General features: G+C 33.9%; 1 long non-coding RNA gene across 1 annotated transcript; it reads right to left on the bottom strand.

The window, feature by feature from the left end:
• Positions 1-6,722: 6,722 nt before the first annotated feature.
• On the bottom strand, positions 6,723-12,165 carry LOC105372740 (uncharacterized). Its single transcript, XR_001755096.1, has 2 exons — positions 10,899-12,165; positions 6,723-7,057 (listed from the first exon to the last, which is right to left on the bottom strand). It is a non-coding gene; the product is annotated as an uncharacterized LOC105372740 (long non-coding RNA).
• Positions 12,166-12,894: the final 729 nt, after the last annotated feature.

The following is a 12,894-nucleotide window of genomic DNA, read 5'->3' on the forward strand; positions in this document are numbered from 1 at the left end:
CAAGTGTGGGAGAATCCAAAAGAACACAGCCATTCTCAGCCCTCCTCACACCCACACCAAAATCAGTATTGACAGAAAAATGTATGATTATCTGACTGCAGAAGTTTGTCCTTTGCTTTAAAAGAGGTATTTATTTACCAAGGGGCAGTGATGACATACTTGAGGATCCATACCAAATACCATTCAAGAGAGTCAGGAATTCCTTGGAAACACATTGTCTGTTTCTCTTTAGGAAAATGAAAAGCACTGCAAAGAAATTCTAAAAATCAAATTCCTGTAGTTTCTAACCTCTTCTTTGATGCTACGTGTTCTATGCTCCAAATGTAGCTAGTATACAAGAGACAGTAATGAAATAGATGCATCTTACCATGATGTCTTTTTTTTTTATTTTTTTGCTACAATGTTTATAGCAAGGGCTCTTCACTTTTATTTCAATTGCATGAAACAATGTGACACTTGCCTTTCTTATTTTAGCTTCAGAAGTTTCTAAAACACTTGTCTCTGCAAGATTATCTTGATCTTAAGGTGCAGGAAATTTGCTTTAAGGCTCTGCTGACTCAACATTTACACATTTTTCTTCTGATGAAGTATTTTGTTTCCTTTAAAACCAAATGATATCATGTAACTCAAACAATGTAGAACTATACTAATTATGATCTAAAATGACAGATGTAGATGGAGTCATACTTTATGTCTGTTCTTGTAGTATATATAGTCATTATCCATCAAGTATTCACATGTACGCTGGGAATTTTCATACCAACTGCCAAAACTTCAAACTAACCACTTAAAAAAAAGTTCGACTTCAAAAGGTTTACAGTTTTAATTTGGACAGCACTGCCAGGAAGTGATCCGTGAACAAATTCATTTTGCTAGTCTTTGTAACTACAAAGTTCTCATGATTAAGCTTTTTACTTTCTCTTTCTCTTTTTTTTTTTTTCTTTCTTTCTTTTTTTTTGGTGTAGCTTAACTTTATGATTCATGGGCTAAAATACAATTCTGAGAGATTTACTGTTGGTGTCATACTTTCACATTTTCTATTACAAGTTTCATATGAATGTAAAATTGTATTAGTTTCTGTGTTATAAATAGCCTTAAAAGGGGATTAATCATCATAGAACCAAATTGTTTTTCCCAGATATCAGTCATGATAAAGTCAGGAAATATAGTTTTAGGTAAAAAAGAAGAAGAGAAAACACTCTGAAATTTCTAAATTTTTGGTTAACACTAAGCTTTCTCATACAGAAAAATCACAAATTTGCCCCCTCCCCCCAAAAAATCATACTCAGTTCAATGAGATGGCAGAACAGTGATATTTTCACTTGGAAAAAAAGGAAGAGAATTTATTCATTAAAAAATCACTAGGCTGGGCACGGTGGCTCATGCATGTAATCCCAGCACTTTGGGAGGCTGTCAAGAGCGGATCACAAGGTCAGGAGTTTGAGACCAGCCTGGCCAATATGGTGGAACCCTGTCTCTTCTAAAAATACAAAAATTAGCCAGGTGTGGTGGCATGCACCTGTAGTCCCAGCTTCTTGGGAGGCTGAGGCAGAAGAATCTCTTGAACCCAGGAGTCAGAGGGTTGCAGTGAGCCAAGGTCATGCCACTGCACTCCAGCCTGGGCAACAGAGTGAGATTCTGTTCTCAAAAAAAAAAAAAAAGAAAAGATATTAAAAATCACTAATTAAATGTGAATCATATAACTGCTCCTAGAAGAAAATAGCCTAATAAAGAATGGTATTTTAAAAATTACGTGGTTTTGCCTGTTTACTAAAACATGTATCTTGTCTTTGGAAGCTCTGAAATTCACATCTCAGGGAAAAAAGGAACCCCGGAAAGTGTATTCCTAGAAAGGCATCCATAGTGAACAATGAGCTCATTTTCATTTAAGGATAAAAAATGTAGATATTTTTATTTAAAAATGTGAGAATTTTTCAGAAAATATAGCTAAAATAAAAATATACTTGAAGAATATGGATAAAGTCCATGTCATAAAAATTGGATTTAGATGATCCTAATATTTGAAGAAAGTATAAAGTTAAGCAAAGAACTAATTACTCCAAGAAGTTGAAAATACTCTGTGCTCTGGATGGGTGTATATTACTGCGTTAAATATACATTACAAGCAATAGGAAGAATTTCAGAAATACTAATCTTAGTATTTAGTTGTGGTCCTGACCCTTTTACATCTTACAAGTATAAATTATCTTATTGTACTTTGCAGATACTGCATTTTTTTACAAATTGAAAGTGTGTGGCAACCCTGTGTCAAGCAAGTCTATCGGTGTCATTTTTCCAACAGCATGTGCTCATTTTGCATCTCTGTGTCACATTTTCTTAATTCTCATAATATTTGAAAGCTTTTTGTATTTTTTCTCCCTGTTATGGTGATCTGTAATCAGTGATCTTTGATGTTACTATTGTAATTGTTTTGAGGGAGCCACATCCACACCTCTACAAGATGATAAACTTAAACAATAATGTCGTGTGTGTTCTAACTGACTTCCTCTCTGATCAGTCATTCCTCCATCTCTCTCCCTCTCCATGGGCCTCCCTATTTCCTGAGACACAACAATATTGAAATTAAACCAATTAATAACCCCTCAATGGCTTCTAGTTGTTCAAGTGAAAGAAAAGTCACGTCTCCCACTTTACATCGAAAGCTAGAAATGATTAGTCTTAGTGAGAAAGACATGTTGAAAGCCAAGACAGGTAGAAGGCTAGGCCTTCTTAAATTGAAAAGCAACTTCAGCAAAGTCTCAGGATACAAAATTAATATGTGAAAATCACTACCCTTCCTATACACCAACAACAGGCAAGCAGAGAGCCAAATCATGAATGAACTCCCATTCATAATTGCCGCAAAAATAATAAAATATCTAGGAATAAAGCTAACTAGGGAGATGAAAAATCTCTACAGGGAGAACCTCAAACCACTGTTCAAAGAAATCAGAGATGACTCAAACAAATGGAAAAACATTTCATGTTCATGGATAGGGAGAATCAACATCATGAAAATGGCCATACTGCCCAAAGCAATTTATATATTCAATGCTATTCCTGTTAAACTACCAATGACATTCATTACAGAACTAGAGAAAACTCTTTTAAAATTCATATGGAACCAAAAAAGAGCCTGAAAAGCCAAGGTAATCCTAAGCAAAAAGAACAAAGCTGGAGGCATCACACTACCTGACTTCAAACTACACTAAAGGGATACAGTAACCAAAACACCATGCTACTGGTACAAAAACAGACACATAAACCAATAGAAAAGAAGAGAGAACCAGGAAATAAGGCTGCATGCCTACAACTATCTGATCTTTGATAAACCTGACAAAGACAAGCACTGGGGAAAGAATTCCTATTAAATAAATGGTGCTGGGATCACTGGCTAGCCATATGCAGAGGAGGGAAATTGGACCCCTTCCTTACACCATATACAAAAATTACCTCAAGATGGATTAAAGACTTACATGTAAAACTCAAAACTATAAAATATCCTGGAAGACAATCTACCCAATACCATTCAGGACATAGGCACAGGCAAAGATTTAATGACAAAGACACCAAAAGCAATTGCAACAAAAGCAAAAATTGACAAATGGGATCTAATTAAAGTACGGAGCATTTGCACAGCAAAACTATCAACAGAGTAAACAGACAACCTACAGAATATGAGAAAATTTTTGCAAACTATGCATCTGACAATGGTCTAATACTCAGCATCTATAAGGAATTTAAACAGATTTCCAAGAAATAAACAAACAAAACCATTAAAAAGTGGGTGAAAATATATGAACAGACACTTCTCAAAAGAAGACATACCTGCAGACAACAGTCAGATGAAAAAAATCTCAACATCACTGATCATTAGAGAAATGCAAATTAAAACCACAATGAGATACCAGCTCACACCTGTCAGAATGGCTATTACTATTATAAAAAGTCAAAAAATAATAGATGCTGGTAAGGTTGTGGAGAAAAAGGAACACTTATACTCTGCTGGTGGAAGTGTAAATTAGTTCAACCATTGTAGAAGACAGTGTGGTGATTCCTCAAAGACCTAAAGCTGGAAATACCATTCAACCCAACAATCCCATTACTGGATATATATCCAAAGGAATAGAAATCTTTTTATTATAAAGACACATGCATGTGTATGTTCATTGCAGCACTATTCACTATAGCAAAGACATGGAATCAACCTAAATACCCACCAATGATAGGCTGGATAAAGAAAATGTGGTACTTATATACCATGAAATACTATGCAGCCATAAAAAATAATAAGATCGTGTCTTTTACAGGGATGTGGATGGAGCTGGAGGCCACTATCTTTAGCAAACTAACACAGGAATAGAAAACCAAATACAGCATGTTTTCACTTATAAGTGTGGGCTAAATTATGAGAATACATGGACACATAGAGGGAAACAATACACATTGGGGCCTATCAAAGAGCAGAGGTTAGGAGGAGGTAGAGGATCGGGAAAAATAAGTAATGGATACTAGACTTAATACGTGGGTGATGAAATAATCTGTGCGATAAACTCCCGTGACACACATTTGCCTATATAACAAAACTGCACTTCCTGCACATGTACCCATGAAATTAAAATAAAATTTAAAATAAATAAATAAAATGAAAAGAAACAAAAATAAGGAAAAATTATGGAAAAGAAATCCCTAGTTTGACCTGGAATAGCTTAGTATTTTTCTTTATAGAAATCTGATGGTTATCTATAGGACGAAATTCTAATGGTAGATGGAAACACTGAAGAACAGTAAGTGGTGCAACACATAGAAATTTGACACGGGAAAGAACAGAAGTTCCATAACGATTGTAGATTCACCACAATCTGTTATTTCCCTCTCTTCACCATTAGTCCTTAGGTCACCTTTTTGGACTTGGAAGAGTCCCAGATACCTCACAGATATACTTTCATTTATAATCTTGATTTTTATTCAAATTATAAAATATCAAGACTCTTACAGTAGCCCTAGCCTATATTTTCAAGTTTCTAAGAACAAATAAAATGAGAGCCAGATTTCTGTTTCTAATATAAAATGCCAACTTCTCTCCGAGGGACCAGAGTCTATTGGTCCTTAACATTTTCTCTTACTTTCACAAATTTTCTCTTACTTTAAATATTTTACTTTCACTTTACTTTTTTCTCCTACTTCCACTTACTTTCCACACTTCAATGAATCAAACTAAAGGTAATAAAATGAATATCTAGTAAGGCTAAAGCTATATGGGATCCTTAATTTAAAGAATAATTTTCTTAATTATTTTACCAAGAGTTACATGACAAACTTAAAAATGGCATTATTTTGACAGTAGCAACAACTCAAAAGACAAAAGAAAATATTATAATGCCAATACCCTCTGCTACTATGGCAGTGCAGAAATTTAGAATTTAAAAATGCCAAACTACTTTAACAATATGAAAGTCATTTTATTCATAATTTCACTGATTCACTCAATTTTAACTATATTATTTGGCTGATTTAATAAAATAACAAATGAAAATTTTAAAAACAGTGCCATTTGAGAGTTACCTGTCATGAGTGATGAAATTACTCCAAATTCTAACAATACATATAGCAAATGGCATATTTGCATGGGTATTGGCCTGAGTATTTTGGCTTGCATTTCAACATTTGTAATAGCTGCAGCAAAAATTTTCCTGTCTAAAATTTTTTTAAAGGCAGAATATCTTCCTAAATGAGCAGAAGTTTGGGTATTTGGACACTCCCCGAAAGCAGAACACAGACAAGTGTTCAAATGCAAACTTTGTCATTTTTACGTCATTGATTTTTAATATACACGTCTATTCAGCTTTTTCTTAATTAGGGATTTGGGTATAACTATGCTCTTTAGGACTTTCTCTGTCTACCTGCTTGGCATAATATCCTGGGACCAATTGTGAAAAAAATCTGTGATGGAGCATTGATAAAGAAATCCCTGGATGTTCAGAAACAATTTGGTTGTTTCTGGCTTATAAAACTCAAGAACTACTTTAATGAGAAGTAGAGGGTAGAAAGTGTGGAGAGCTTGTATATGTACCAAAATTGTGGATAGACAAACCAAAAAATTGACATTTTAGGCAAAGTGACATTTTGGATGAATATATAAACAAGAGAGTTAAAGTCATATTTAAATGAGAAGCTGAAGCAGAAAAAAAAAATCAAAACAAAAAAATGAATTAAAAGCACAAATAAAGGGAAGATGCTAGGACTGAAAATCCCAAGAGTAAGGTAGCTAAACCTAAGTCAGAACAGTCAGAAGTACACTAGAGGAAAGTAAGTGAGTGATATGGTTTGGCTGTGTCCCCACCCAAATCTCATCTTGAATTGTAGCTCCCACAATTCCCATGTGTTGTAGGAAGGACTCAGTGGGAGGTAATTGAATCATGGGGGCACATCTTTCCTGTGCTGTTCTCCTGATGATGAATAAAGTCTCATGAGATCTGATGGTTTTATAAAGGGGAGTTTCCCTGCACAAGTTCTATTCTCTTGTCTGCCACCATGTGAAATGTGCCTTTCACCTTCTGCCATGATTGTGAGTCCTCTTCAGCCATGTGGAACTGAGAGTCTATTAAACCTCTTTCTTTTGTAAATTGCCCAGTCTCAGGTATGTCTTTATTCACAGCATAAAAATGGACTAATAGAGAGATTAAAAAGAGGTAAGAGAATCAAATTATGATATCAATTAGTTCACAGAATTAGTGACAAATTTTATTTACATGGAATTTGTAACATCCTCTCCTCTCCTTTCTTTCTTGAAATAACTCTTTGAAAAAGAGGAAATAGAAAATTAGCATTTCTTGATGGCATACTATGAGCCAGGCCAGGTGCCTCGTGGTCAACATACTGTCTTCTTCAGTGCTTATACTAAAGAATGGTCAGGGTGTTTTACAGCAGTCTGTTAAGGTTGGAGGTACACTGCATTGAGATTCTCAAGAAAGCCAATTCCTCATTAGATGAAAGAAGTGAGCAATCATTCACCTGGATGCTTATGGTATGATGAGTAAGAACGTCCATTTCATTCCTGGAGTAAAATTAAAGAGAGGAGAGGTGTAATCTGATGAATGCTATCTTTAGAAATAAAAGTTAGTAGCAGAAATCTAATACGGATTTCTAGATAGTGAGAAAACAAAAGAGCTGGCATCTCTCGATGTGGGACAACTATAAAAAATAACATTTCTTAAAATTTCTGTGTTTCCACAGCCCATTTTATTTGTGATTTCCAATCTACTGTCATAAAGTTATTGTCCTTAAAGCAAAAAATGGTCTTAAACTTTGAGTCATAATATAGATTGGCCACTGGAGAAACTGCATCTAATCCAATGCAGGTTGAGAAATGACATCCCCAAAGGATACTTGAGGTTTTGTTTGCTACAACCAAAAGGGAAGAAGGAAGGAAGGAAGGAAGGAAGGAAGGAAGGAAGGAAGGAAGGAAGGAAGGAGGGAAAGAAAGAAAGAAAGAAAGAAAGAAAGAAAGAAAGAAAGAAAGAAAGAAAGAAAGAAAGAAAGAAAGAAAGAAAGGAGGGAAGGGGAGGGGATGGGAGGGGAGGGAAGGGAAGGGAAGAAGGGAGGAAGGGAGGGAGGGAAATGAAGAACAGCTTCAAGAGCAAAAGCAAAAAGAAAACTTTGCCCTAGGTCTGAACAGAGCAAGCTGTGAACATCTTGGTAACTCATGAAGTAAGCAGATGTGACATTATACTTCTGTCAAGAAAATTTTGGCTAACAAGAAGTGCTTTTAGCTGCCCAAGGTCACACACCTAGCAAATGGTGGAGTTAGAATTCAAACATAATTGTGATTCACTCTGGTCTGTAATCACAGTATTCCCTCACAATGGCCAACACATGAGAATTTTAAACCAATAATGAGAAATGGAACCATAAGAAATAGAGAACAATAGAAATATGTAGCAAAACCAAAGTTACTTAACATACATTAGCACAATCAATTTAATTAGAAAAGGAAAATATTATAGCATAAATATTATTCTAATGAAGAAATTTGCATAGGAATGAAATTTTGATGAAGCTCCTTAATTTAACATGAGAGAAAATGATATGAATGAAATAAATAGGCAAATACTCTTGTGTAGCAGGTTGGGAAGAGCTAAGTTCTGTTGCCTGTGAGATAGATCTGTATTATAGGCCATTTTTGTTATATCCAAGCTTTACTGGACATATTCACTGTAGTTTGGGGAATATGAAAGAACACTGGACTCAGGTTCTGACCTCTAACTTGTTATAAGATCTATAACAAATTATTTCAAGAAATGTGTTGACCTGAGGTATCTCACTTATAAAAATGAGGGCGGTAGCTAGATAAGTTAGTATCACATATTGTTTTGTTACCGAATTCCTTTTTTCAAGTGAATTCTTAGGTTGATTTCAAATAAGTAATGCTAATGAAATTTCAGCAGAATAAATATGAAAAACTAAAAACTTCCTTCTCCTCTGAGCTCTTAGATTTATATTTTAGAGCATGTACAGCCTTAAAACATGGGAAAATGATACTGAACTGAAATATATTTTAGCATTTTTCATACTGTATTCCTAATGTCATAACTCTTGAAAGTGATGTTTAAAAAAGAATTCTCTGGTTAATAATATCATTAAATAATGAATACCGCATCTCCCTTTTTGAGCGTTACAATACATACATCAAGTTAAGAAATCAATCAAGTTCTGTAGAAAAGAAATCTGTTAAATTTGTTTATTTTCATGTATCGTAAATGACCTTGAGTCACTTTTTTTCACATAAAGTGAATGTACCAAGAAGAATCATGGTTTTTAATATGAATTACAAGCTTATGAACTCCAAGGACCCTAGTTTAAACATCTCAGCCTTCTTTCAGGTTCTCAAATGGTACTTACTGTAGTAATAGCAACTCAATGAATATTACTTCCATAAAGTTGAATTCCATAAGCACAGATTTAACTGAGAATAAACCATGGAATATCTAAAGTACCTTTTCAAAAAAGATAAAGTGATTATACAAAGCATATATAAAGCTTGTCAAGGAAAATAAATCTGAGATAATGTAAATATACATCCAAAATAGGAAAAAAAACCTAGAAAATTTTTAATCTTCCTTTTACTCATTGACTTCAAACTACCTAAAATTTCCTTTTATTGATCCATTTTCTCTCCACTTGTCAGCTTGTCCATTAGTCAATGACAGAAGAGAAAAAAAAAAGATGAGAAAGAGGAAATGTTAGAATCTTAGAAGCTGTTCCATCTCTATCCAGCTCGTCTGCCAGTCCTGGTCATTCACATAGGCAGTCCTCACTAGCCCTTACCCGGGCTTCCATAAAAAGAGCTTCTCTTCATTGAGAGCTAGTGCCTTTGGTACAGCTCCTCTAATAAGATAAAGAGTGTGGTCTGAGACTGATTTTCCACTGAAATGTGGATTGATGTTCTTTAAGTCCCTTTCGCACTAAGTCCCTTTTGCACTAAGATTATCTTCATCGTCTATATGCACCTCTAAGTAGAAACAAAAGAGTAATGTCAAATAGGAAAGAATAATATTCACTCATCTCTACAAATGGCCAATAAAAGCCAAAATACATAGATAGATATGATTGTGTTTGTTTTAGGAATGGAGAATAAAGGAAAATAGTTAACACTGTATTTTTGTATAATGAACAAACACTTTACTTCTAAGCCATAGATAATGGTTGTGAATAAAAGAAGTGAGTAATGGAAGGAAGGAAGGAAGGGAGACAGGGAAGGAAAGATAAAGAAAGGAAGAAAGAAAGAAAAGCAAAGAAAATAAATTAAGGACAGTAGGAACACCAAAAAGTAAGATTTTTATCACTATCTCCTCAGTGCTCAAATCCCTAAATTGGCCATAGGACCTACAATAATTCATTTAGGAAGATTTTCCATTCCTCTTTCCAAAGGATAGGAGGGTTGAGGAGGATACTTCTGTTATTCCATCACAGTAAAAGAAGATGAATTACTGCCACCCAAAATTGAAAATGCATGATTGATTTTTCATAGAAACTTCTTAGTATGCAGTGTTAGGTTTGTAGCATTATTGACACAGCATGCTACTTTGTATGCAATGTAATTAGTGAGCTGACCTTGGGATGGAAACTCAAGCTGCAACACGATGCTTGTCCTTTTGGAATACAGGCTGATCATGAAATGGAGATTATCTGCACTTATTTTCAGGAAAGAAAGGGACTGTAGTGAGGTTTCTCTAATCCAGAATAGTTTAAACATAGAAAATGTTTCAGAGGAAGGCAATCAAAATGATGAATGAGCGAGAGTATTTTATTTATGTGAAAATATAAATGAGGCATAAATTATACAAAAGAAACTTGCTGAGATAAAAAACAACTTTGGAAAATTGTGTGATGGTCCACAGAATGTAGAAAGCACAAACATCAAGGCTAGAGAAATAATTTACTAGGTTTCAAGGGTTACTAGTACAAATAATGAGAATAATTAAAAAGTAAAACAAGAGCTGCCTCCTCTATTTAAAAAGTAGCTGAAAAACTACACTAACTTGAATGTGGTCTAGGATCCAAAGCAGAAGTCTTAGGAGTAGAGTCTAACATTATATAATACTCATGTTAAAGGAGGCAAAACTGCCTACCTAGGGACCAATAACAATTCATCTACATTTCCTAGATACGTTTTTTTGACTCATCAGCATCATATTCTTTTATGAATAATAAGTTCAACTAATTTGTTATCAATTCTTTCCACTATTGGAAAAGTCTGTTGGATATATTAATGTTGGAATGACAAGCAGCTTGTGCTCTTCTCTGGGCATCTAAAAATATCGCCAGATGCATTGTGAGCAATTTAAAAGCCATAATTAGCTTACTTCCAATGATAAATGAATAACAGCTCCACGTACCCTTAAGAGTCTCCAATGTTGTTCATTAGAAATATGTGAAGAGCCACATACGTAATTTTAAATTTCTTGGTAGCTACATTTTAAAAAGTAAAACAAACAGGTAAGATTTATTTTAATAATACATTTAATTTAACCCAATATATGGAAAATATTATAGTTACAATTTGTGGCACTAGCCATATTTTAAGTCCCCAATAGGTACATGTAGCCAATTACTTTATTGTACAGCAAAGAAACTAAGAGAACAGTAGAGGCATAATTCTGGGGAGAAAAAAAAGCATAGGTCAGTGAAAAGGCATTTTTTTTTTAACTTAAGGTAGTGCACGTAATGATTGGATTGTGCTCTCTGTAAGTGACTTCACTGAGAAGGGAAAGGACTCGGCACTGTGTATGAGCTGAGGTGAGAACATCATCAAAATAAGAATGAACCTCTTTTTGTGATGAGGAAATAGAGCAATTTGGTAATAAAATGATTTTCTTTATATCCCCTCTCAGAATCAATAAAAATATATCAAAACATAATTTTAAAAATCTTCATAGTTGGCAACTGCAATGATATTAAAATGTTGTCACAAGAAAAACATGTTGTGATGAAAGTTATACATAAAATGATCAAGAAAAACACTTAAATTTAGCACTTAAAAACATTTTGAGGACAGTTAAAGATGCCCAGATTCAGAGTACCACTTACAGATCATCATCCAGAAATATGCCAACAATATGTTCCTTTGTTCACCAAAAATATCCTTAGTATTTACTATATACACGGAGCTTTTCTAGCCCGGGGTACAATAGAAACAAAAATAGGTAAAATCCATGCTCGATAAGAGCAAATATTCTAAGGTACCTACGTAAATTCATTTGTCTACCAAAGCTTTGTTAAATGGCTTCTAAAGAACTTTCTTCATTCTTTACCAACTAATATGATCTAGAGTTTGGTATTATAAGGAAACATATTCAATCTGATTGCCAAACTCAAGAAGTCTGGAATCTGTTTTATCTATCTCTGCATCTGCCTCAGTACATATCAGACTGCCTTATACATTATTTAATGATGGTATTGAGTTGAATCAAACTGAATTAAATCAAATTGAATTTAATTGAATAAAATAGAAGCCACTGCATTGTTAAAAGTACCAATTCATAAACTAGAAATACCACCATTAAAAATGAATACCAAAACCAGATAAAGACTATTCTAGGGAAAGAAAAGTACAAACCAATATCTTTCATTAGCAGAGATGCAAAAATAATCAAGAGACTATTAGCAAATTAAATCCAATGATATATAAAATGAATCACACACCATGACTAAGTAAGATTTATCACAGGTATATAAAATGGGCACTACGTGTCATAATCAATTAATGTAAACAATCATATAAACAGGCTACAGAAGAAAATAAATATGATTACATCAGTTGATTCAGAGAAAAGATTGATGCATCCTGGCATCCAAAATCAATTCATGGTAAAAACTCTCAGCAAACTAGGAAGATAGGGGAACTTTCTCAACGTGATAAAGAACATCTATAAAGAACCTACAGCTAACATCATACTCAATGATGAGAAACCAGATGCATTTCCACTTGGAACAGCTTCTCTTTAACATTGTGCTAGAAGTCCTAGCTAACACAAAAAGAAAAAAAGTAAAAGTAAAATGTATACAGACAGTGAAACAAGAAATAAAATTGTCTCTGTTTAGAGATTACATAATTATCTATGTATTAAACTCCAAAGAATCAACAAAAATCCCCAGGAGCAAGCAAATGAATATAGTAAGAATGCAGGATACAAGGTTAATATACAAAGTCATTTGCTTTTCTACATACCAACAATGAACAATAGGAATTTTAAATGAAAAATATGATACCATTTACATTGGCACCAAAGCCAATAAATCACTCAGGCATAAATCTAATAAAATATATACAGGATCTATACAAGAAAAACTACAAACCTTTCATCAAAAACACCAAGGAATATCTGAAAAAAT

Source organism: Homo sapiens, chromosome 21, assembly GCF_000001405.40.
Source record: "Homo sapiens chromosome 21, GRCh38.p14 Primary Assembly".
NCBI lineage: Eukaryota > Metazoa > Chordata > Mammalia > Primates > Hominidae > Homo > Homo sapiens.